General features: G+C 38.3%; 1 pseudogene across 1 annotated transcript, besides 1 other annotated feature; it reads left to right on the top strand.

The window, feature by feature from the left end:
* Positions 1-802: 802 nt before the first annotated feature.
* On the top strand, positions 803-9,638 carry AHCTF1P1 (AT-hook containing transcription factor 1 pseudogene 1; annotated as a pseudogene). The gene has a single exon (NR_077058.1). The product of NR_077058.1 is annotated as an AT-hook containing transcription factor 1 pseudogene 1 (transcript).
* Positions 7,456-7,525: an enhancer, noted in NCBI's record as "active region_16714". NCBI's record gives its function as "activates an Ori minimal core promoter by ATAC-STARR-seq in GM12878 lymphoblastoid cells {active_cell/tissue: GM12878}" and the evidence as "EXISTENCE:reporter gene assay evidence [ECO:0000049][PMID:35858748]".
* Positions 9,639-27,298: the final 17,660 nt, after the last annotated feature.

Here is a 27,298-nt window from a genome sequence, read left to right as displayed (position 1 = left end):
TGGAGGTTTCTCACAAAGTTAAAAAATAAAAAAGAACTATCATACAATCAAGCAGTCCTACTTCTGGGTATATATCCAAAAGAATAAAATCACTATCCCAAAGAGATAACTGCACTCCCATGTTCATTGCAACATTATTCACAATAGCCAAGACATGGAAACAAAGTGTTTGCTGCTGAATAGATGAAGAAAATGTAGGCTGGACATGGTGGCTCATGCCTGTAATCCCAGCACTTTGGGAGGCCGAGGCAGGTGGGTCCCTTGAGGCCAGGAGTTTGAGACCAGCCTGGCGAACATGATGAAACCCTGGTGGTGCATGCCTCTAATTCCAGCTACTCATGTGGCTAAGGCCGAAGAATCACTTTGAACCTGGGAGGTGGAGGTTGCAGAGAGACAAGATCATACCACTGCACTCCAGCCTGGCCAACAGAGCAAGACGGTGTCTCAAAAAAAAAAAAAAAAAGAAAGAAAATGTGATACACACATATATAATGAAATATCATTCGGCCTTACTTTGGGAGGCTGAGGCGGGCGGATCACGAGGTCAGGAGATTGAGACCATCCTGGCTAACGTGGTGAAACTCCGTCTCTACTAAAAATACAAAAAATTAGCCGGGCGTGGTGACGGGCGCCTGTAGTCCCAGCTACTCCGGAGGCTGAGGCAGGAGAATGGCGTGAACCCAGGAGGCGGAGCTTGCAGTGAGCAGAAATCACGCCACTGCATTCCAGCCTGGGCGACAGAGCGAGACTCTGTCTCAAAAAAAAAAAAAAAAAAAAAAAAAAGAAATATCATTCAGACTTTGAAAAGAAGGAGGCGCGGCCTGGGCCCGCGGCGGCGGCGGCGGCGGGGGTTCTGCCCCGCGAGCGCCGGGCCTAGGCCGGGCGTGCGCGGGGCCAACGGATGGGGCTCGAGGGGGCGAGCGCTGGCGGTGGCGGGTACGGCAGGCTCGCGGGCGCCGGGCTTCGTTACATAATCTCGGACCGGAGGAGCGGTGGCACATGGCGGCGGAACGGCGCTGTGGAAGTATGCGAGACTTAAGAGCTCAAGTGACTAGTGGTCTCCTGCCATTTCCAGAAGTGACTCTTCAAGCCCTTGGAGAAGACGAAATAACATTAGAATCTGTGCTTCGTGGAAAGTTTGCTGCGGGGAAAAATGGACTTGCTTGCTTGGCTTGTGGTCCACAACTTGAGGTAGTAAACTCTATAACAGGAGAGCGATTGTCTGCTTACAGATTCAGTGGAGTCAATGAACAGCCTCCTGTAGTTTTAGCTGTGAAAGAATTCTCTTGGCAGAAGAGAACTGGATTATTAATAGGATTGGAAGAAACAGAAGGGAGTGTTCTCTGTCTTTATGACCTTGGAATATCAAAAGTAGTTAAAGCAGTTGTTCTTCCTGGAAGGGTAACAGCTATTGAACCTATAATTAATCATGGAGGAGCCAGTGCAAGCACTCAGCATTTACATCCAAGTCTGCGATGGCTTTTTGGAGTGGCAGCTGTGGTCACTGATGTTGGACAGATCCTTCTTATTGACCTATGTTTGGATGACTTGTCATGCAATCAAAATGAAGTTGAAGCATCAGATCTTGAAGTTCTAACTGGTATCCCAGCTGAAGTACCACACATTAGAGAAAGTGTGATGAGAGAAGGGCGCCATCTGTGTTTCCAGTTAGTAAGTCCAACAGGAACAGCCGTTTCAACTCTTAGTTACATAAGCAGGACAAATCAGCTTGCTGCAGGTTTTTCTGATGGCTATCTAGCACTTTGGAACATGAAAAGCATGAAAAGAGAATATTACATACAATTGGAAAGTGGACAAGTTCCTGTATATGCTGTCACTTTTCAAGAACCTGAGAATGATCGTCGGAATTGCTGCTACTTGTGGGCTGTTCAGTCTACACAAGATAGTGAAGGGGATGTTTTGAGTTTGCATCTACTGCAGCTGGCCTTTGGTAATAGAAAGTGTTTGGCATCAGGACAAATCTTATATGAGTGGTTAGAATACTGTGAAGAAAGATACACTCTGGACCTGACAGGTGGCATGTTCCCTTTGAGGGGACAGACGAGTAATACCAAATTGTTGGGATGCCAGAGTATAGAGAAATTTCGATCTCATGGTGACAGGGAGGAAGGCGTGAATGAAGCTCTATCGCCTGACACTAGTGTTTCAGTCTTTACCTGGCAGGTGAATATATATGGACAGGGAAAGCCTTCTGTATATTTGGGGCTTTTTGATATAAATCGTTGGTATCATGCACAAATGCCAGATTCGTTAAGGTCAGGAGAATATCTACATAATTGCTCTTATTTTGCACTGTGGTCATTGGAGTCTGTTGTAAGTAGGACTTCTCCACATGGCATCTTGGATATATTAGTACATGAGAGAAGTTTAAATAGAGGAGTCCCTCCTTCATATCCACCTCCCGAGCAGTTTTTTAACCCAAGCACTTATAATTTTGATGCCACTTGTTTGTTAAACTCGGGAGTTGTTCATTTAACTTGTACTGGCTTTCAGAAGGAGACTTTGACTTTTTTAAAGAAATCAGGTCCATCACTCAATGAACTCATTCCTGGTGGTTATAATCGACGTCTTGTAGCTGGCCTTCTTTCCCCAAGTTTTGTTGATGTTCAGCCTTCCAGTTTAAGCCAAGAAGAACAGTTAGAAGCTATATTGTCAACAGCAATTCAGACTAGTTCCCTGGGACTTTTGACTGGTTATATCCGAAGATGGATAACAGAAGAACAACCAAATTCTGCCACTAATTTGCGCTTTGTTCTTGAATGGACGTGGAATAAAGTGGTTCTCACAAAAGAGGAATTTGACAGACTATGTGTGCCATTATTTGATGGTTCGTGTCATTTCATGGATCCACAAACTATACAGTCTATCCAGCAATGCTATTTGCTTCTTAGCAATCTTAATATAGTCTTGAGCTGTTTTGCATCAGAAGCCCGAGAGATCACTGAGAGAGGACTGATAGACTTAAGCAATAAGTTTGTGGTTTCCCACCTCATCTGTCAGTATGCACAAGTGGTTCTTTGGTTCTCTCATTCTGGGCTTTTACCAGAAGGCATAGATGATTCTGTGCAGTTGTCAAGGTTATGCTACAACTACCCTGTAATTCAGAACTACTACACCAGTCGTCGACAGAAGTTTGAGCGTTTATCAAGAGGGAAGTGGAATCCCGATTGCTTGATGATTGATGGACTGGTTTCTCAGTTAGGAGAGCGAATTGAGAAGTTGTGGAAACGAGATGAAGGAGGCACAGGAAAATATCCTCCTGCTAGTCTGCATGCAGTACTTGATATGTACCTATTAGATGGCGTTACTGAAGCAGCCAAACACTCTATTACCATTTATTTGCTACTTGATATTATGTATTCCTTTCCCAACAAAACAGACACTCCCATTGAATCTTTCCCAACTGTATTTGCCATTTCTTGGGGCCAAGTTAAACTTATTCAGGGTTTTGGTTGATAGATCATAATGACTATGAGAGTGGTTTGGATCTTTTGTTTCATCCAGCTACTGCAAAACCTTTGTCATGGCAACATTCAAAGATTATTCAGGCATTCATGAGTCAGGGCGAGCACAGACAAGCCCTCAGATATATTCAGACAATGAAGCCAACAGTGTCCAGTGGTAGCGATGTTATCCTTCACCTCACTGTTTTGCTTTTTAGTAGGTGCATGGTTGAAGCCTGGAATTTTTTGCGGCAACATTGCAATAGGTTGAATATAGAGGAGTTACTGAAGCACATGTATGAAGTCTGTCAGGAAATGGGCTTGATGGAAGATTTACTGAAGTTACCATTTACAGACACTGAGCAGGAATGTTTAGTGAAATTTTTGCAGTCCAGTGCCAGCATTCAGAGTCATGAATTCCTTTTAGTGCACCATTTGCAGCATGCCAATTATGTGCCTCCCTTGAAGCTGAACCAAACTCTGAAGATTAATGTTATGAATGATCGTGATCCTCGTTTGCGGGAGAGATCACTGGCTCGAAATTCTATATTAGACCAGTATGGAAAAATCCTTCCTAGAGTCCATCGAAAATTAGCCATTGAACGAGCTAAGCCTTATCATCTGTCAACATCATCAGTTTTTCGATTAGTTTCTAGACCCAAACCATTATCAGCAGTTCCAAAGCAAGTTGTAACAGGAACTGTGTTGACAAGATCTGTTTTCATCAACAATGTGTTATCTAAAATTGGAGAAGTTTGGGCAAGCAAAGAACCTATAAATAGCACCACACCTTTCAATAGTTCTAAAATAGAAGAACCATCTCCTATAGTGTATTCGCTCCCAGCTCCAGAGCTGCCTGAGGCATTTTTTGGAACACCAATTTCAAAAGCATCACAAAAAATTTCTAGACTGCTAGATTTGGTTGTTCAGCCTGTCCCCCGGCCTTCTCAGTGTTCGGAGTTTATTCAGCAAAGCTCCATGAAATCTCCTTTGTACCTAGTATCCCGTTCACTGCCCTCAAGTTCACAATTAAAAGGATCGCCTCAGGCCATCTCCAGGGCTTCAGAATTACATTTGCTTGAAACTCCTCTTGTAGTTAACAAAGCTAAAAGTTTGGCCATGTCAGTTACTACTTCTGGATTTTCTGAGTTCACTCCTCAGTCCATCCTGAGGTCTACTCTTCGATCAACACCTTTAGCATCTCCCTCTCCATCACCTGGAAGGTCTCCTCAACGACTTAAAGAAACTAGAATTTCATTTGTGGAAGAAGATGTCCACCCAAAGTGGATTCCTGGGGCTGCAGATGATAGCAAATTAGAAGTATTTACTACACCTAAAAAATGTGCAGTTCCAGTGGAAACTGAATGGCTGAAGAGCAAAGATAGGACCACATCTTTTTTCCTGAACAGCCCTGAAAAGGAGCATCAAGAAATGGATGTGGGGTCACAAAGTTTAGAGAAACTGGATGTGAGCAAAGGAAACAGCAGTGTTTCAATCACATCCGATGAGACTACCTTAGAGTATCAGGATGCACTGTCACCGGAAGACCTTGAAGAGACTGTTTTCACGGCCTCTAAGCCCAAAAGCTCTTCCACTGCACTAACTACTAATGTAACTGAACAAACTGAAAAGGATGGAGATAAAGATGTATTTGCATCAGAAGTAACTCCTTCAGACCTACAGAAACAAATGGGCAATTTAGAAGATGCAGAAACAAGGATCTCTTAGTTGCAGCAGAGGCATTTTCAGAATTGAATCACTTAAGCCCAGTTCAAGGAACTGAAGCTTCTCTTTGTGCACCATCAGTCTATGAAGGGAAAATCTTCACCCAGAAGTCCAAGGTACCAGTGTTGGATGAAGGATTAACATCTGTTGAAACCTACACCTCTGCAATTAGAGCAAATGACAATAAATCTATGGCTGATGTCCTTGGTGATGGTGGAAACTCCTCACTCACTATCTCTGAAGGTCCTATTGTCTCTGAGCGCAGGCTTAACCAGGAAGTAGCGCTGAACTTAAAAGAAGATCATGAAGTAGAAGTTGGTGTACTAAAAGAAAGTGTTGACTTACCAGAAGAAAAGCTTCCAATTTCTGACAGCCCTCCTGATACTCAAGAAATTCATGTGATTGAACAGGAAAAGCTTGAAGCTCAAGATTCAGGAGAAGAGGCTAGGAATCTTTCATTTAATGAGTTATATCCCTCTGGAACACTTAAGCTTCAGTACAATTTTGATACTATTGACCAACAGTTTTGTGACTTAGCTGATAATAAAGACACTGCTGAATGTGACATTGCTGAAGTAGATGGGGAACTTTTTGTGGCTCCAAGCAACTTTACCTTGATATTGGAAGGTGAAGAAGGAGAAGTTGAGCCAGGTGATTTTGCATCATCTGATGTGTTACCTAAAGCAGCTAACACAGCAACTGAAGAAAAACTTGTATGCAGTGGGAAAAATGATAATCATGGACAAGTTGCAAATTTGCCATCTGCTGTAACTAGTGACCAAAAGTCCCAAAAAGTAGAGACTTTACCATATGTGCCTGAACCTATTAAAGTAGCAATTGCAGAAAATTTGCTAGACGTAATTAAAGACACAAGAAGTAAAGAAATTACTTCAGATACAATGGAACAGTCCATTCATGAAACAATACCTTTAGTGAGCCAAAACATAATGTGTCCCACTAAATTAGTCAAATCTGCATTTAAGACTGCTCAGGAAACAAGCACAATGACTATGAATGTCAGCCAGGTTGATGACGTGGTTTCCTCCAAAACTCGTACGAGAGGTCAACGTATCCAAAACGTGAATGTCAAATCAGCACAACAGGAAGCATCAGCAGATGTTGCTACTCCTAAGATGCCAGGGCAGTCAGTCAAGAAGAAAACTAGGAAGGCAAAAGAAATTTCTGAAGCTTCTGAAAACATCTATTCTGATGTCAGAGGACTATCTCAGAACCAGCAAATACCTCAAAATTCTGTTACGCCTAGGAGAGGAAGGAGAAAGAAAGAAGTTAATCAGGACATACTAGAAAACACCAGTTCTGTGGAACAAGAATTACAGATCACTACAGGTAGGGAATCAAAAAGATTAAAATCATCTCAGCTGTTGGAACCAGCAGTTGAAGAAACTACTAAAAAAGAAGTTAAGGTTTCATCTGTTACAAAAAGGACTCCTAGAACAATTAAAAGATCTGTAGAAAATCAGGAAAGTGTTGAAATTATAAATGATCTAAAAGTTAGTACGGTAACAAGTCCTAGCAGAATGATCAGAAAATTGAGAAGTGCTCATTTAGATGCTTCTGAAAATACAGGAAATAAGCAAGAAGATAAATCCAGTGACAAGCAGCTGCCTATTAAACATATTAGAAGGGTCAGAGGGAGAGAAGTTAGTCCATCAGATGTGAGAGAAAACTCCAACCTTGAGTCATCTCAGTTGACTCTTCAAGCAGAATTTGATATGTCTGCCATACCTAGAAAACGTGGTAGACCAAGAAAAATCAATCCATCTGAAGATGTAGGATCTAAGGCTGTTAAGGAAGAGAGAAGCCCCAAGAAGAAAGAGGCTCCCAGCATTAAAAGGAGATCTACAAGAAATACCCCAGCTAAAAGTGAAAATGTTGATGTTGGAAAACCAGCTTTAGGAAAATCCATTTTAGTGCCAAACGAGGAACTTTCGATGGTGATGAGCTCTAAGAAAAAACTTACAAAAAAGACTGAAAGTCAAAGTCAAAAACGTTCATTGCACTCAGTATCAGAAGAACGCACAGATGAAATGACACATAAAGAAACAAATGAGCAGGAAGAAAGATTGCTCGCCACAGCTTCCTTCACTAAATCATCCCGCAGCACCAGGACTCAGTCTAGCAAGGCCATCTTGTTGCCGGACCTTTCTGAACCAAACAATGAGCCTTTATTTTCTCCAGCGGCAGAAGTTCCAAGAAAGCAAAAGCTAAAAAAATAGAGGTTCCTGCACAGCTGAAAGAATTAGTTTCGGATTTATCTTCTCAGTTTGTCATCTCACCTCCTGCTTTAAGGAGCAGACAAAAAAACACATCCAATAAGAACAAGCTTGAAGATGAACTGAAAGATGATGCACAATCAGTAGAAACTGTGGGAAAGCCAAAAGCGAAAGGAATCAGGACGTCAAAAACAAAACAAGCAAAAACACAGAAAAAGAAAGTGCTTGGTCACCTCCTGCCGTAGAAATTCGGCTGATTTCCCCCTTGGCTAGCCCAGTTGACGGAGTCAAGAGCAAACCAAGAAAAACTACAGAAGTGACAGGAACAGGTCTTGGAAGGAACAGAAAGAAACTGTCTTCCTATCCAAAGCAAATTTTACGCAGAAAAATGCTGTAATTTCTTGGGAAGTTTTTAATGTACACCTATTTGTAAAGTCATCAGAATAGTGTGGATTATTAAATATCTAGTTTGGAAGAAAATAATTTATATAAATTATTGTAAATTTGTATGTAAACAGAAGGTCTTCAATAAGTAAAGTAACTCCATATGGAGTGATTGTTTCAGTCCAGGCAATTTTTCTATTTTATATTAAGACTTCATACGTTTATATATGTAAATATGGCTTATTAATGGAATGTTAAATGAAATGTATACTTCACAGTCGTTTGTGTCTTGGATTTTTGAAAGGGAGGGGATATCTGTTTAAATAGTTTTATATGCTCATTGGTCTCATTTTCTCTATAATTAAAATACTAGACCAGTCTTAAAATGGGGATGATTGAAGTATTGATGTTTCTTTTTACAGTTACTATTTTATAATTTATGCACTTTGATTCTGTGATTCAGATTTCTAATCATAAAATGTATTTTTTTGTTTTTGGCTGTTACTATGTTAAAATTGAATTATGGGCATGTAATTTTGCCATCTTTGTAGTTTCACAAATTTTGTGCAATCTACCTCAAATGAATAATCCAAGTATTGGTTAACTATAATGTTGGCATCTCTTATTCGGCAAGCTTAAAGGCTCTTTAAAGTCTTAATTAGTCAAAGACTAATCCAGGTTATATTGACCGGTTCACTGCTCACTTGCAACCTTATCAAAGGATTTGACAAAGGGAAATGTAAAATAAATCTGTTTATGGATATTGAGTGCATCTTGTATGTGCCTAATATTGATAGGATGAGATGTCTGAACAAATTTTTATAATATTGTTGTGAAGGAGCTTGCTACTGAACCACAGAAATCCCTTAATATTCAGGTTTTAAAACTGGCAAATTCTCACAGGACCTCAGGCACAGATTATTAAGGTTGGGAGAGAGTGAGTAGATGTAGAAAAGGAGAAAAACAACACACGCCCTGTTCTCTACAGTACAACTGTGTGCAATTAAGCAATGGTACTTGATGTAGGCTCTAACACTCATCAATAAATAAGTGTTGTAAAATAATTTATAACAGGTAATTGATAGTGTGTAATGAATGGACTATTAATAATTGATCATCTAGAAACGAACTGCTTTCGTGGGCTAAGCTTTTAATATTTTAATGTGAAGCATATGCAGTGTGCTTTCTGCATTTATTTTTCTACCAAATAATACAGATAATGAGAAATTGGTGAAAATGCCTACGCCAAGTGTTGACAGTGTGAAAGTAGCAGTGCGAGTGCGGCCTTTTAGTCAGGTTAGTGATGGATGTTACGCTGTCTTGTTGAAAATTTCACTGACTTTGATTTTATTACTTTTTTAATGATAGTTATCAAACTTGTATTTAAGCTGCTTGTCATTTATGGAATATTGAACTTATTTAAATGAACTTGTTAAATGAATAAAGAGCTAAACATAATTCAGTAAACAATTTTATTCCTTTGCGCAAGTAGCACAATAAACATGGATGCAATGTATGTCAAGTTAATACTTTTTTAAACCAACGCAATTTGGTGAATATAGATGTGTGGTACCTGTTTTTAATAAATGTACTTTTTCCCCCTCTGTGAATGTAGATCATAAGCAAACAAATTGCCTGTTCTAAATGAACTTTATATATATTTTAAATGAATGTATGTACTTATGTATAAATGTCTTTATATAGCTTGAATAAAAACACTGCTCATTAAAATGTGTTGCTACAACAAAAAAAAAAAGAAAAGAAGGAAATTCTGTCATTTGTAACATGAACCTGTAGGATATTATGCTAAATAAAAAAAGCTAAGTACAGGAAAACAGACACTGCATGAGCTCACTTATATGTGGAATCTAAAAATGTCAAACTTATAGAAGCAGAGAGTGGAATTGTGGTTGCCACTAAGGGTGGGAGAAATGGGGAGATGTTGGTCAAGGGGTACTAAGTTTCAGTTAGGATGAGTAAGTTCTAGAATCTAATGTAAGGCATGGTGGCCATGGTTAATAATCATGTGTTGCATACTTGAAGTTTGCTAAGAAAGTAAACTTTTAGTCTCACAAAAAAAGAGGGCAACTATGTGAAATAAAGATGTTGATTAGTTTAATTGCAGTAAACATTTCACAATGTATACACACACCAAAACATCACACTGTACATCTTTTTTTTTATTTGTTAATTATACCTCCATACAGCAGAAGAAAAGGCATTCTGGGCTCACACCTGCAATCCCAGCACTTTGGGAGGCCAAGGCGAGTGGATCACCTGAGGTCAAGAGCTCGAGACCAGCCTGGCCAACATGGTGAAACCCCGTCTCTGCTAAAAATACAAAAATTAGCTGAGTGTGGTGGTGGGCATCTGTAATCCCAGCTACTCAGGAGGCTGAGACAAAAGAATCACTTGAACCCAGGAGGCAGAGGTTGCAGTGAGCCAAGATCACACTATTGCACTCCAGCCTGGGTGACAAGAGTGAAACTCCATCTCAAAAAAAAAAAATAAAGAAAGAAAAGAAAAGGCATTCTGTGCTTGTGAATTGGAAGATTTAATATTATTAAGATGACAATACTCCCCTAAAATAATCTACAGATTCGATGTGATCCCTATCAAAATCCCAACAGCCTTTACTGCAGAAATGGAAAAGCTCTTCCCAAATTTATATGAAATCCCAAGGAACCCCAAACAGCCAAAACAATCTTGAAAAAGAAAAAGAAAGTTGGGGGACTCAAGTTTCCTGATTTCAAAACTATGAAATTACCATAATCAAAACAGTGGTACAGGTAGGAAAACAGACATACACATCAATGAAATTGAATTGATGGGTGCATAGATAAACCCATGTATCTATGGTCAACCGATTTTTGACAAGGGTACCAGAACCACTCAATGGGGAAAGTGTAGTCTCTTCAACAAATGGTGCTGAGACAATTAGATACCCACATGCAAAAGAACAATGTTGGAACCTAACCTCACACCATATACAAAAATTAACTCAAAATGTATCAAAGACCTAAATATAGGAGCTAAAATTACAAACTCTTAGAAGAAAACATAAGGACAAATCTTCATGGTCTTGAATTTGGCAATAGATTCTTAGATATGACACCAAAAACACAAGAAACTAAAGAAATAATAGATAAATTGGACTTTATAAAAATTTTAAATGTGTGTGTATTAAAGGACATTATCAACAGAGTGGAAAGACAACTCACGGAATGGGAGAAAATATTTGAAAATCATATATCTGATAAGAGTCTAACACCCAGAATATTTAAAGAACTCTTAAAACTCAACAACAATAAGACACAAAACTCAATTACAAAATGGGCAAAGGACTTGGATAGACATTTCTTCAAAGAAAATATACAAATGACCAACAAACACATGAAAAGATGCTCAACCCTGTTAGGCATTAGAGAAACGTAAATCAAAGCTGCAGTAAGATAATACTTCAAAAACATTAGGATGGCTACAAAAAATTTTTTTTAAAGAAAAAGAATGTAAGTGTTGACAAGGATGTGTGAAAGTGGAAAGAAACCTCATGCATTACTGTGAAAATGTAAAGTGGTGTCCACACTGTAGAAAACAATTTTGTGTGGTTCCTCAAAAAGTTAAACATAGAATTACCATATGAACCCCACAATTTCACTCCTAGATATATGCCCAAATAAACTGAAAATCGGTGTTCAAAAAGAAATCTCATGCACAAATGTTCATAGCAGCACTATTCACAATAGCCAAAAGGTGGAAACAACCCAAATGTCCACCAGCAAAAGAATGGATAAATAAAATGTGATACATCCATACAATGCAATATTACTCAGCCATAAAAAGGAATGAAATACTGACACATGCTACAACATGAATGAACCTGAAAACAATTTGCTAAGTGAAAGAAGCCAGACACAAAAGGCCATGTATTATATAATATCATTTACGTGAAAGATCCAGAATAGGTAAATCCACAAATACAGATAGCAGGCTAATGGTTGCCAGGGTTTGTGGAGAGAGAGAAATGAGAAGTTAATACTTAACAGGTATGGGGTTTCCTTTGGGAATAATGAAGATGTTCTGGACCTTAGAGATGGTTGCACAACATTGTGAATGTACTAAATGTAACTGAATTGGGTACTTTAACATTATTAAAATGGTGAATTTTATGTTATATGTATTTGGCCACTATATATCATATATTTTATTTATTTATTCATATATTTATATATATATATATTCAATGATCATGTTCAAATGGTAACAAATTAGTAATGCCAACTTTCCTCGTGATAAGTAGGTAAGGAAATTGGTAATCAGTTTTACAAAGGCTTTCAAAGTTAGTACAAAGTATTAAACTTATTCTCAAGGCTTGACGTGGTGGCTCACACCTGTAATCCCAACAGTTTAGGAGGTCAAGGTGAGAGGGTCGCTTGAGATGAGGAGTTCAAGGCCAGCCTGGTCAACACAGTAAGACCCTATCTCTAAAAAAAATTGTTTTTAATTTTTTTTACTTAGGAAGCTGAGGCAGGAGGATCACTTGAGCCCAGGAGTTCCAGGCTGCATTGAGCATGATTGTGCTACTGCATTCCAGCCTGGGGAGCAGACCAAGACCCTGTCTATTAAAAAATTAAAAATTAAAATAAACTTACTGCCAAGACTTGAAGAGAGGGCAAAGTATAAGATAGTCTGGACCCTGACTTTCATGGCAACAATGAATAATTAATTTTTTTAAAGAAAGAATTACAATAGTAAGAAGTAGTAAATACATGGGATTCATTCCTTCCAAGAACGTACAAACTGATGATATAAATATCTTCAAAATTATTTAAAGTGAAATATGATAGAATCATAAAGTCTTAGGGAAATTTACAATGATTTAGTTTGATTGATATGAGGGAGAGAAATGTTTGCCTCCTCCAATATGCTCCTTGGTTCTAACTAGCAGAAACTAAATATTGGGTCAGAAAAACTGTGGACTAACTCCACATAGCAGTTTCTATATTCTTAATTCACTATAAGTATATAAGTCCATTTGAGTCTTCAAACCTGTTAGGTTGCTGCAAAAGTAATTATGGCTTTGGCCACTAAAATATCTTATTCCAAGCCTGTCTACAAAACATTTCATTGACAGATGTGGCTGGTGGTAGCTTTCCATTGTTAACAAAAGTTAGTTTCTTGTCTTGAGGAATGAGTTTGTTTGAAAATCTTTCTGTATTTTTTTCTAATTATGTTGGTACATCCACTAAAATTCTGTTTTCATAACAACTACTATTCATGGATGTCTATTTTTGTTTTATATGAAAGGAAAACTGAAATTTAGAAACACAATGGCACATTTTTAAAATATTCATTTATAAATGGGCTAGCTTTGGACCAATGAGCTAGCTTTGGGGAAAAAATGTTTACATTTTTGTTTCCTTTAAAAATTATACTAAAGTTATTCTAAATCATTTATTTACTGTTAGGTTCATAAAGCTCACATCTGGTGGTGATATAGGTATCATGCCAGTGATTAAGATCTTGGATTAGCAATGCTAATAATAATTTGTACACAGATGTTACAAAACCTAACCTCTTGTTATTCTAGTTGTACTTATTTTTACGTAACACACAAAATTGGGGCTTTTTCAAGTAAACAAATGACATCTACATTTTAAACCCAAATAAATTTCTGGCTTAACTCCTACAAGTTGAAATCTACCCTCTGCGGTTATATCTCCTTTAATTCAATGACTACATTGAATGTAAGGAGTTCTGTGCCAGCCCACTAAACCTGTCAGGGTACCAAGGGAAAAAAGGTGATAGGCTCTCTATACAAAAAGTATATATAAAGTGTTAGCATACATCAATTTATTCATTCCTTAAGATCTATTAAAAATCTACTGCTTGTCAGATAACAAGCAAGGCACTAATGATGTATCTGAGAACAAACACATTTCTTGTTCTAAAGGAGGTTATCCTGTTGTCAGGGTATTAAATCATATTACTATTCAAATAACTAAATAATTTTTAAAGGGTCATGACATGCCTCCATTAAGGTATTTTTTTAATTCCAAACACTTTTAAATTTGCTTTGTAAAAATATTATTAAGACCTGAGACATTAAGATTAAACGGAGTTACCAGAGATTTTAGAGATTAAAGTCTAATACTTGATAATTCTGCCAAGGCTTTGGATTAAGCATTATAACATCAATAATATATATGCGAACCTGGGAAGTACTCAGCAAAACTATATTAGTTAGGGTCTTTTGCACTGCAGGGAATATAGGTACGCTGAAGTGATACAGATTTACTATACAAATACATGGGGAAGAAAGAAAACTCAGGAAACCGAATCAGCTGCTATACACCCAGACAACACAGAGAAGTATAAAATCAGCTCCTTGTTGTTCTGGATACAACAGTGGTTTTAAAGCCCAACTCTAGGAACCAACTAGGAGCCCTGAAAACTTGCTTATATACTGATCTCTTCTGTCTCAAGTATATGTTGCCTGTCTTATGGTAATTCTGCCATTTTTGGAATTCAGCCCTCTCTTTCCCTCACGCACCACACACACACAAAAATCCTGTCTGTTCTAGCTTCAAAATATATCCTGAATTCAACCACTGTCATGACCCACAGCTAATACCCCATTCTAAGCCACCATCATCTTTCCTGGACTACTACAATTCCCTACTAGCCCATCTTTCTACTTCTACTCTAACTCAGTCAGCTCTCCAGACAGTAGCTCAAATAATCTTGTTAAAATGCATATCATACCATGTCACTTTCCTGTTCAAAACCCTCCAGTGACTTCCATTACATTAAAATAAAACAAGAGTTTCTTACCATGGTTTGTAAAGCTGTATATAATCTAATCCCTAGAAACAACCCAATCTCATTAGCTACAAATCCCATTAGAAGAAGCCTTCTTCTTATAATTGTAGCCTTCTTCTGGCTGTTCCTCAAATATGACAAGCATACTCTTGCCTCGAGGCTTTTCCACATATTATTTTCTCTGCCTAGAAATTACTCTTTTCCCAGATAATCTCATGGCTTCCTCCTTATGTTATCCAAGTGTCCCTCTAACTCCTAAAAGGGGCCTTCCCTGGACACCTAAACTAAAACATGACTCTAGTCCCTTCTCCAATTTATTATTCTTCCTGGACTTATCACTACCTGAAAAAATATTATAAAATTGTTCTTTTTTGGGGGGGAGGACACAATCTCATTCTGTCACCCAGGCTGGAGTGCAGTGGCAGTAATCACAGCTCACTGTAGCCTCGACCTCCCAGGCTCAAGTGATCCTCCTGCCTCAGCCTCCCCAGTAAGTGGGACCACAGGTACATGCCACCACACTTGGTTATTTTTTTTTTTTGTAGAGACCAGGTCTCAACATGTTAGTCAGGCTGGTCTTGAGCTCCTGGGCTTAAGTGATCCTCCCACCTCAGCCTCCCAAAGTACTGGGATTACAAGCATGAGCCACCACACCAGGCCTATAATTATTCTTTATATATTAGTCAGTCTCCCCAGCTAGAATTAAGCCCATGAAGGCAAACTTTTGTTTACTACTGCATCTTGAGCATCACAGAACAGTGCCTGGCACATAGCAGACATTCAATATTTATTTAAAAAACTAATTACTTCCTATGTCTCTCTGCTTTTCTCTCTACTACTCTGCTTCCAATTATCTTGAACTCAAAACTCTTGAGAGAGATGTTCCTTTCATGAGTTAATTACCATCCAACTTTACCTGAGTGTCTATTCAGGTCAGGTCACCCAACAAGTAGCCAGATAGGTGGCTTGGCTACAGCAGCAATATCTGGTCTTCAGTCTCTATTAGGAGAGTACCAGAGTCACATGGCATAAACCATGAAATGTTATATTCAAGGAGTCACCTGTGGCTATTTTCCTCAGGTGGAGTTTGTATAATAACATAATGGACACTTAGGTTCTTGAACTCTTCTCCAACATAAAAATAACAAAGTAGATCTTCCTCTGATTATTTTCTTTCACTCCTCTTCCCATTAAGGGCTACAGATTTTCAAACCACCTACCTCAGGTAACAAATAAGGCCAGAGATCCTAAGAAATTCCCTTGTTCTCCTCACCACAATGGTCGTAGTACTTCTGTCTACCTCTAATCAAACTCCTAACCTCAGATTCATTACTTCTCAGTTTTATGGGAGAAATTTTCTAATCTATAAATCCATATGCTATGGTGTGCTGTAGGTAATTTGTTACCTTTTTCTAAACATTTTTTCTCATTTTATAAGGAATTCTATAGAAAGCAATGCCTTAATTCAACAGCAAAAACCTCTCATATTCCATTTCAGGCAATACGATGATGATCTTAGGGATTATGAATTGGAGCAGGATGGCCTTTCTACAGTCCCTCAAATGACATCACTTAATGACTTTTGCTAGCCTATTTATGATACTACCCCTACTGCATGCAACTCTCATTCATTAACAGCCATTCAATAAACATTATTGAGTACCTATTATCAGCAAGGGACCATGAAGTGTTCTTGGATCACAACTACATTGCCCACAGAAGAGCAGGCTTTCATTTCAACAGAAAGTTATCCCCCCTAATATTGTGTTATTAGGTGTTTCTGAGAATAAACACATTTCTGAAGCATGTTTTATGAGCAACAACCATTGTGGATTACTCAGACTTCTTTACTATGGAACATTTGTTTGCAGATTTACTGTAGGAGTACAGATGTTATGAAATTATAAAATTTATAAGGGAACTTTTCTAATGTATAAATCTATGAGCTACAGTGTCACTGCCAGTTTAGTTGAGAAAGTTAGATTTATGGTGTACTCTGCCCAACTTGTTCAACAATCTATTTTACACCATTTTTAGGCCATAATTGTCCAAAGCAATGTTTACTAAAAGAGAGTAGTACCATGCTTCAGCGTATACCATTTATACAGATTTCATCAGAATAGGTACAAACACTTCACTGAGACTTTCATAAATCCCCATGACACCCATTTTTTTTTTGTTACTATGGTCAAAATATGTTTCATTTCATAAATTGATCAACCATTCCTAATTTTGATAAAAAGGTAACACCTGTTCTTTGTAAAAGTTATTTGAAAAATGTTCATCTTCACCAGCTTTAAAATCATCTCTTTAACCAGTTTTAATAAGCCCAACAATATAGCCACGATACATTAATTACCATCTGCACTAAATGCTGTCCTCCCACTCTGCCTTGTTATTCTTACACCTAATCCTCTTTGTAACCCTTACACCTCCCACACTCTCTATCCTAACTTCATAATTGTCAAAAGGAATGATTATTTCATCTCACACACCATCATTTTCAACGAATTTTCTCATCCTGGTGATGCCTTTAATTTCGACCAGCAGACTGTATATACGACCTTTCTTCTCCTGCCATCAGTGGGATGACATTGATAAACTCTGTATCTCTACTCTTCCAAAAAATGATTTCTATGTGTTGCTTTGACTCTTAAACATATGGAACACATTTATAACATTCTAATATCCTCATGTTCACAGACATTATATCCACAACATTTTTATCTTCTGCAATGACATTTCAAAGATCAAATATCTAAGCCACTTTACTCAATTGTGAAACCTTATACTAATTAAGCCAAGGGTGTGAGCTCAAGGGCTATAATAACCAATTATCTAGAAAAAAACAGCAAAATTCTTCTTCAGGGCCCCAGACTATATCTCAAGGGTAGGTAAAAGGTCCACCATTTCATCAATATTAGAGGACATCATCAAAGTATATAGATTACCAAATAGTATCACACTACATTTGAAAAGCAGTTCATTCACAGGCATGTCCTAGTGATAGTAAATCAGTAGTATCAACTCCACATGCTCAGGACAGTATATCACACGCACATAATTCTTATGCAATATTAATGACATAAGTATAATTAGTTTGCATAGCATTCCTATCCACAGATCCTTGTTTAAGATGATGGGACAAATCTAGCTTCATAGAATAGATCTGTAGCATAGTCTAGTGGAAAGACCAATGAGTTGGAAATTATAAGACTGAATCTTTTTCCTAACTCTTCTTTCCATTCCACCTGGTAACAATTTAATCCACATTTGTTCCAGATGGTGGAAAATGCATGAAGGTGAACAATTCTCTAAAACTCTTCTACTTGAGGGGTAAATATCTGCTATGTCTAGAGAGTGGAGAGAAGGAACGCTCGAAAACTCTCAGAGTCCAAAATGAACTGACAGAAAATAAGCAGTTTGCCAAGGAATTCAGCAGTGAGTGTTAATAAAGGGCACCATAAAGAAATATATCCCTTCATATCTACATAGTATTGACTATGATTTAGATATTATGCCAGGCTAAAGTTATGGAAATGAATGTGTCTCACAATGGGTCTATGGTCCCAGGGAGTCTCAACATATATTTTCTGTGAGATTTTCTGTGTGTGTGTGTGTGTGTGTGTGTGTGTGTGTGTGTGTGTGTGTGTGAGAGAGAGAGAGAGAGAGAGAGAGAGAGACAGGGTCTCGCTCTGTCACCCAGACTGGAGTGCTGTGGTGTGATCATGGCTTACTGCAATCTCTGCCTCCTGGATTCAAGTGATCCTCCCACCTCAGCCTCCCAAATAGCTAGGACTATAGGTTTAAGGCAACATGGCTGGCTAATTTTTGTATTTTTTAGTAGAGACAGCGTTTTGCCATGTTGCCTAGGCTGGTCTGGAACTCCTGGGCTCAAGTGATCTGCAGCCTGGGCCTCCCAAAGTGCTGGGATGACAGGCATGAGCCACTGCACCAGGCCATGATTATTTTATATATATTTTAATTTCCATGTTAATTTTTAGAAATTATTATCACCACTTTCCATATCATTTGAATGCTTGCCTTCCAATAATATTACCATATAAATTGCCAGGCATGGTCCCAGCACTTTGGGAGGCTGAGGCGGGAGGATTGCTTGAGTCCAGGTGTTCAAGACCAGCCTGGACAACACAGGGAGACCTCATCTCTAAGAAAAATAAAAATAAAAAAATTAACCAAGTGTGGTGGCACGTCCCTGTAGTCCTAGCTATAGGGAGGCTGAGGTGAGAAAATCACTTGAGCCCAGGAGTTCAAGGCTACAGGGAGCTGTGATCAGGTCACTGCACTCCAGCCTGGGTGACAGAGCGAGACCATCTCAAAGAATACATTATATATTACCATGTAATTTCAGTACCTATGTTGGTCTATGTTGGTTTTTTTCTTTACAATTACTTCAGGTCCGATGAATCACCTAATATGAGAGCAATTTTGGCCTGACATGGGGAACTCCAGAGCTCCCTGTTGAGTTGGACAAGGCTTTGTCAGGCCTACTTCACAGTTCGGTTTCTTCTTCTTCTCAATACCACTTCCCTCTGCCCTTGCCTTTAATAGGAATTGATCCCTAACAGACATCTTGCACCCCAAATTCCATCTCAATGCTGACTTCCAGAGAACCCAGTCTATGAAAGTTGGCCCTGGGAGTGGTCTCAAAAATGAGCAGTAAGGTGAAACTATGGAGCATGAAATGACAATGAAGATTCCATCAGTGATGGGTAGGTAGAGCACAGACAGCCAAGTGACATCCAGTTATTAAAACATTCCCTGGTAACAAATTGGGAGGGTGTACTGATGGAAGGCAATACACTAGCATGGAGGAAACAGTGACTAAAAGGGTAATACATTTAGATTATTATTTCAAAGCCCCATTGATGCCCAATAGTAGATAACAAACGAATAAGAGTAACAGGCAATTGAAAGCCACATGTGAAAGCCAGCAGACCTCTTCAATTTTATACTATCATTTCCCACAGTGGGAGGGCACAGAAAGCAAGAACTAAGCCCAGGACTTAATTGTCAGAGTGGCTAAACTTCAAAGACAATTATATATGCAACCAAAGCAGGTCTGTGTACAAAGACCAAGAACTTGGTTGAAAAAACATGTAACTGGAGCACATGAAATGTGGACATCTTGGTGGATACCTTAGATTTTGACTCCTTAGACTCCTCTTGACCTACTGAGACTTTAAAATTAGACCTCTCCTCATTGAGAGCTAGTACAGCTGACCTCCATCCTCCATCCAGCTCCCATGCATCGCCATACATCCCCAGCCATCACCACCCCAGGTGGTAGAAGATAATTCAGAGGCCTCTGCCCTGCAAGACAATATATGTCTCTTTAGTACCTAGCCCCGGCTCTCCTCTGAGCTATGAGACCCATAATTAGAATTAAGTTTCAGCCTAACCCAATTGAGGAAATTGTAGCCCTTATAAAAGAAAAAGAATCTAGCATGGGCTACAGAATGACACTCTCTCAAAAAAAGGGGGGGAAGGAGAAGGAAGGAAGGAAGGAAGGAAGGAAGGAAGGAAGGAAGGAAGGAAGGAAATTATACTTGAAACAAGTGCAAAATCTAGGCATTATATACCAGCAAGAACCTGAGGAGTACATGTGGGACCAGGTTCTGAAGGTGTTTAATTAAGGCACCAGAACATAAATTGTATTAGGAATAGTTCAGTCACCTAGGAAAATTCTCCCAAGATGCAGAATTTAGCACCCTGGCTAGGACTCCTAGGAGATGTTGTAAATTCATTCCAAGATGCAGAATTTAACATCCTGGCTAGGACCCCTAGGAGATAATGTAAATTCATTCCTAGGATGGCTCATAGAAACATTTTAAAAAGTGATGGTGCACACTAAGTGAAGTTGAAATGCCATAATGGCCGTGGGAAACAGTGGAAGATAGGATTAAACGACTCAGAGAAGTACGCACACTGAAATTGATGCATAGCTAAAAGACCACCAGCTGATTATGTTCCACTGGAAGGCCAAGAGGACACACCATTTAACCTACCAAGGCCATAGGAAATACACTGGTAAGAGGAGCACCAGCATCACTAAAATATGTAGTGATGACTCTCCTCTGTTGGCCAGGGATGGCAGTAGGAGAACTTGCTTCAGAAATAGCAATGGGAAAATAGGAGCCAGGTGATGACACTTTACGGCCAGAAGCCAGGGGATCATAATTGTCATAATGACCAAAAGAGCAAGAATGGCAGCCAAGGGGGTCGTGATGTGTAGAGAGTTATAGAGATGGTTAATAGAACATTTATCTAGAGGAAAATTAGATGGGCAATTAAGAAGAGTACTACTTGGCCTGGCGCGGTGGCTCATGCCTGTAATCCCAGCACTTTGGGAGGCCGAGGCGGGCGGATCATGAGGTCAGGAGATCGAGACCATCCTGGCTAACACGGTGAAACCCCGTCTCTACTAAAAATACAAAAAAATTAGCCGGGCATGGTGGTGGGCACCTGTAGTCCCAGCTACTCGGGAGACTGAGGCAGGAGAATGGCATGAACCTGGGAGACGGAGCTTGCAGTAAGCTGAGATCGCACCACTGCACTCCACCCTGGGCGACAGAGTGAGACTCTGTCTCAAAAAAAAAAAAAAAAAAGGGTACGACTCACATTGTACCAGAATCAATTAAATGTAGACAGAGACTGAGAATGATCATGCACACAAAAAAAATTAACAACTCCTAACCTGGTTTTGGGATATGAACCAATTTTCAGAGCTAAACCCCAATGATTGAAAAGGTGGCTAGGTCTGCAGAAGGAAGGACCCTGTAACAACATGGCACGTTATACATGGTAATAATTTCTTCAGTCCTTCTTCATAAAGACCTACGGACATTTACTTGGGAAACTACACATTGAGAAAAGGGGCATACTCAAACATTTTGAGGACTACTGGACACAGAGTTTGAACTTCATAAATACCTAAAGACCTGAAACATCATCATGTTTTCCCTATTAGAAAAATATGAATTAAGTAATAAATGCAATCCTGAGCAAGATCCAGCATACAGTGGATCCACTAGATGTGCACACCCAGCCAGTATATATGTCCCTGGTCTTCAAATATATAATTAGGATTGATATATTTGGCAGTTACTCTAACCTCCATATTGGTCCTTGGCTTAAGAACTAGTGAGGAAGACCCTTCCCAGCTTCTAGTATGGTCTGTTCTACTTTCTACTTCAATGAGATCAAGAAGTTTTTAGCTTCTACATATGAGTGGGAACATGCAGTGCTGTCTCTTCCTGGTTTATTTCACTTATCACAATGTCCTCCAGTTCCATCTATGTTGTCATGAGTAACAGGATTTCATCCCTTTTTATGGATGAATAGTATTCTGCAATGTATATAAACCAAATTTTCTTCATCCATTGATCTGTTGTTGAATACCTAGGTTAATTCCTTATCTTGGCTATTGTGAATAGTGCTGCAATAAGCAAGAGGGTGCAGATATCTCTTTGATACACTGTTTTTCTTTCCTTTGTATGAATGTCCAGTAGTAGGATTGCTGGATCATATGGTAGTTCTATTTGGAGTTTTTCAAGGAATCTCCATACTGTTTTCCACAGTGGCTGTACTAGTTTACATTCCCACCAACAGTGTGTAAGAGTTCCCTTTTCTCTGCATCCTTGCCAGCATGAGTTATTTTTTGTCTTTTTGGTACCCATCCAAACTAGGGTGAAATGATACCTAACTGTGGTTTTGATTTACATTTCCCTGATGACTAGTGATGTTGGCATTTTGAAATATATTTTTGGCCATTTGTATGACTTCTGAATAGAGAAATGACTGTTCACATCATTTGCCCTTTTTAAAATAGGATTATCTGGGGGTTTTGCTGTTGAGATGTTTGAGTTCCTTTTATATTCTAGATATTAATCCCCTGTCAGATAAATGGTTTGCAAATATTTTCTCCCATTCTGCAGGATGTCTTTTCCCTCTGTTGACTGTTTCCTTTGCTGTGTGGAAGCTTTTTAGTTTGATATAATCATATTTATTAGTTTCTGCTTTGGTTGCCTGTGATTTTCAGGTCCTATTCATAAAATCTTTTCCCAGACTAATGTCCTGAAGCATTTTCCCCTATGTTTGATTCCAGTAGTTTTATAGTTTTAGGTCTTACATTTAGGTCTTTGATCTATTTTGAATTGATTTTTGTATAGGGTGAGAGGTGGGAGTCTAGTTTCTTCTTCTGCATAGGAATAACCAGTTTTCCCAGCACCATTTATTGAATAGACTGCCCTTTCCCCAGTGTATGTTCTTGGCACTTTTGTCAAAAATCAGTTGGCTTTGGATATGAATTGATATCTGGATTCTCTATTCTGTTCAGTTGGTCTGTGTTTCTGTTTTTATGCCAGTACCATGTATTTTGGTTTGTATAACTTTGTAGTACATTTTAAAGTCTAGTAGTATGATGCCTCCAGCTTTGTTTATTTTGCTCAGGATTCCTTTGGCTATTTGGAGTCTTTTGTGGTTCTGTACAAATTTTAAGATTTTTTTTTTCTATTTCTGTAAAGAATGTCATTCATATTTTTATAGGGATTACATTGAACCTGTAGATTGCTTTGGGCAGTATGGCCATTTTAACAATATTAATTCTTCCAATTGATGGGCCTAAGCATGGGATGTTTCTCCATTTGTTTGCATTCAATTCTCTTCCATTTCTTTCATCAGCATTTTGTAGTTTTCCTTGTAGAGGTCTTTAACCTTCCCGGTTAAATTTATTCCTAGAGATTTTGTTTGTTTTTTTTTTCTGTAGCTATTGTTAACGGGATTACCTTTGTGAATTCTTTTTCAGCTAGTTTGTATATAGAAATGCTATTTATTTTGGTATGTTGATATTGTACCCTGCAACTTTACTGAATTTGTTTATCAATTCTAAGCATTTTTTGATAGGAATTTCAGGTTTTTCTACTTAAGATCATATCATCTGCACACAGAGACAATTTTGCTTTCTCCTTTGTAATTCGAGTATCCTTTAATTATTTCTCTTGACTGGTTCCTCTGGCTAGGACTTCCAGTACTATGTTGAATAAGAGTGGTAAGCGTGGGCATCCTTGTCTTTTTCCAGTTCTTACAGGACAACTTTCCAGCTTTTCCCCATTTAGTATGATGCAGTTTGTCATATATGGCCTTTATTGTGTTGAAGTGCCTTCCTTCTATAACTAATTTATTTAGAGTTCTCATCATAATGTTGAATTATATAAAATGCTTTTTCCGCATCTATTGAGAAGATGATATCGTTTTTGTCCTTCATCCTGTCGATGTAATGTATCACATTTATTGATTTGCATATGTTGAAACATCCTTGCATTCCTTGCTAAATCCCATTTGATCACGGTGGTATTATCCTATCAATGTGTTTTTGGATAGGTTTGCTAGTATTATGTTGAAGATTTTTGCATCTATGTACATAAGGGATATTTGCCTGTAGTTTTCTTTTTTATTGTGTCATTGTCTGGTTTTGATATCAGGGTTATGCTAGACACATAAAGTAAGTTAGGAAAAATTTCCTCTACTTTGATTTTTTGGAATAGTTTGAGAAAAGTAGGTATTAATTTCTCTCTAAAGATTTGGTAGAATTCAGTAGTGAAGCCATCTGGTCCTGGACTTTTCTTTGTTTGAGGACTTTTTATTACTTATTAAATCATATTACTTGCTATTTTCTGTTCAGGTTTTCTGTTTCTCCTTGGTTCAATCTTGGTAGGTGTATGTGTCCAGGAACTTATCCATTTCCTCTGGGTTTACGAGTTTATTGGTATATAGCTATTCATAGTAGTCTTAAATATCATTAGTCACACACAATGGCTCATGCCTATAATCCCAACATTTCAGGAGGCTGAGATGGGAAGATCACTTGAGCCCAGGAATTCAAGGTCAACCTGAGCAACACAGTGAGTCCCCATCTCTACAAAAACTCAAAAAAATTAGCCAGGCACAGTGACATGGTACTGTGATCCCAGCTACATGGGAGGCTCAGGCAGGAGAATCACTTGAGCCCAAGAAATCAAGGCTGCAGTGAGCCATGTTCAGGTCACTACACTCCAGCCTGGGTGACAGAGCAAGACCCTGTCTAAAAAAATAATAATAACAATAACTAACAAAAAAAGATGATATCTTTTCTGTGGTATCTTGTTATGTCTCCTTTTTCATGTATGATTTTATTTATTTGGATTCTTTTTTTCTTAGTCTAGCTAATGTTTTGTCTGTTTTATTTATCTTTTTAAATAACTTTTGTTGATCTTTTATATTTTTGTCTCAATTTCATTTATTTCTGCTTTGATCTTTATTATTTCTTTCCTTCTACCAATTTGGGGTATGTCTTGTTCTTTCTTTTCTAGTTCTTTGAGATGCATTGTTATTTATTTGAAATGTTTCTTGTTTTTTGATGTAGGCATTTATTACTATAAATTTGCTTCTTGATACTGCTTTTGCTATGTTTCATAGGTTTTGGTATGTTGTGTTTGTTTTCATTTGTTACAAGGAATTTTTAAATTCTTTCTTAATTTGCTACTTCACCGGGTTTGTTCAGGAATATGTTGTTTAATTTCCACCTATTTATATACTTTCAAATGTTTCTCCTGTTGATTTCTATTTTATTTCATTGTGGTTAGATATTTGGTGTGATTTCAATTTTTAAAAATTTGTTGAGATTAGTTTTGTGTCCTAACATACAATCAATCCTAGAGAATGTTCCATGTGTTGATGAAAAGAATTGTATTCTGCAGCTATTGAGTGAAATGTTCTACAAATGTATGTTAGTCCATTTGTTCTATGGTGCCATTTAAATCCAATTTTATTGATTTTCTGTCTACATGAACTGTCCAATGCTGATACTTGAGTTTTGTTAAAGTCCCCAACTATTGTTGTATTGGGCTCTATCTCTCTTTTTAAACCTAAAAATATTTACTTTATATACCTGGGTGTCCCAGTATTGGGTGCATATATATTAACAATTGTTATACTCTCTTGCTGAATTATTCCCTTTTTTATCATATAATGTCCTTTGCTTCCCTTTACAGCTTTTGACTTGAAGCCTATTTTGTTGATATAGACAAAGCTACTCCTGCTTGCTTTTGTTTTCCATTTGCATAAAATATCCTTTTCCATCCCTTCACTTTCAGCCTATGTATGTCATTAGAGATGAGTTTCTCATAGGCCGCATATAGTTAGGTTTTGTTGGGTTTTTTAATCTATTCAGTCAGTCTATACTGCAGCCTCAATCTCCTGAGCTCAAGCAATCCTCCCACTTCAGCCTGCCAAGTAACTGGGACCACAGCACATGTCACCACACTAATTTTTTATTTTATTTTCATTTTTTGTAGCAACAAGATCTCACTATGTTGCTCAGGCTGGTGTCAAATTCCTGGGCTCAAGCAATCCTCTCACTTCAGCCTCCCAAAGTGCTGGGATTACAGGCATGAGCCACTGAGCCTGGCCTAGACTATATCTTTTAAAAGGGAATTTAATCCATTTACATTCGGGGTTATTGTTGATAGGTGAGGACTTACTCCTGTCATCTGATTTATTGTTTTCTGGGTGTTTTGTATATCCTTTCCTCCTTACTTCTTCTCTAATTGCTTATTTTTGTGGTTGGGCAGCTTTCTGTACTGATACGGTTTGATTCTCTTTCTCCTTTGTGTATCAGCTCTATGAATGAGTTGTTTTCTGTTGCTGTTGAGGTTTTTTTTGTTGGGTTTTGGTTGTTTTTTTGTTTTTGAGGCAGGATCTTACTCTATTACCAAGGCTGGAGTGCAGTGGCATAATCTTGACTCACTGCAGCCTTGACCTCCTGGGCTCAAGTGATCCTCCCACCTCAGCCTCCCAAGTAGCTGGGACTACAGGCATGTACCACCACACCTGGCTAATTTTTGCATTTTTTGTAGAGACGGGGATTTGCCATGTTGCCCAGGCTGGTCTCGAACTCCTGGGCCCAAGCAGTCTGCCTGCCTTGGCCTCCCAAAGTGCTGGGATTAAAGACACATGCCATCACACCCAGCCATCAGTGAGTTTATAGTTTCAAATATTTTCATAATGATGATTGTAGTCTTTTCACTTACAGACGTAAAGCTCCTTTGAGCATTTTTTTGTAAGGCCAGTCTAGTGGTAATTAGTTCCCTTAGTTTTTGCTTGTCTGTGAAAGATTTTATTTCTCTTTCATTTCTGAAGGATAGTTTTTCTGGGTATAATATTCTTTTTTTTTGTTTCTTTCAGTACTTTGACTATATCATTCCATTCTCTCTTGGCTTGTAAGGTTTGTGCTGAAAAATCCACTGTAGTCTAATGAGGATTCCTTTATATGTGACCTGATGCTTTTCTCTTTCTGCTTTTAGAATTCTTTATCTTTGACACTGGCAACTTGACTATAATGTGCCCCAGAGAAGACCTGTTTGGGTTGAATCTATTTGGCATTCTTTGAGTTTCCTAAACCTGAATGTCCATTTCTCTCCCAAGACTTTGGAAGTTTTCTGCTATGATTTCATTCAATATGTTTTCCTCACCTTTTCCCTTCTCTTCTCCTTCTGGAATGCTCATAATGTTCACTTAATGGTGTCCAATATATCCTGTAGGCTTTGTTCTATCTTTTTTATTCTTTTCTCTTATTTTAAAAGTTTTTTTTTGTCTGCGTTACTTCAAATG

The sequence above is a fragment of the Homo sapiens genome, chromosome 2, assembly GCF_000001405.40.
Source record: "Homo sapiens chromosome 2, GRCh38.p14 Primary Assembly".
Taxonomy (NCBI): Eukaryota; Metazoa; Chordata; class Mammalia; order Primates; family Hominidae; genus Homo; species Homo sapiens.
Note: the sequence above shows the minus strand (reverse complement) of the source record. Positions and strands in the feature narration are given on the sequence as shown.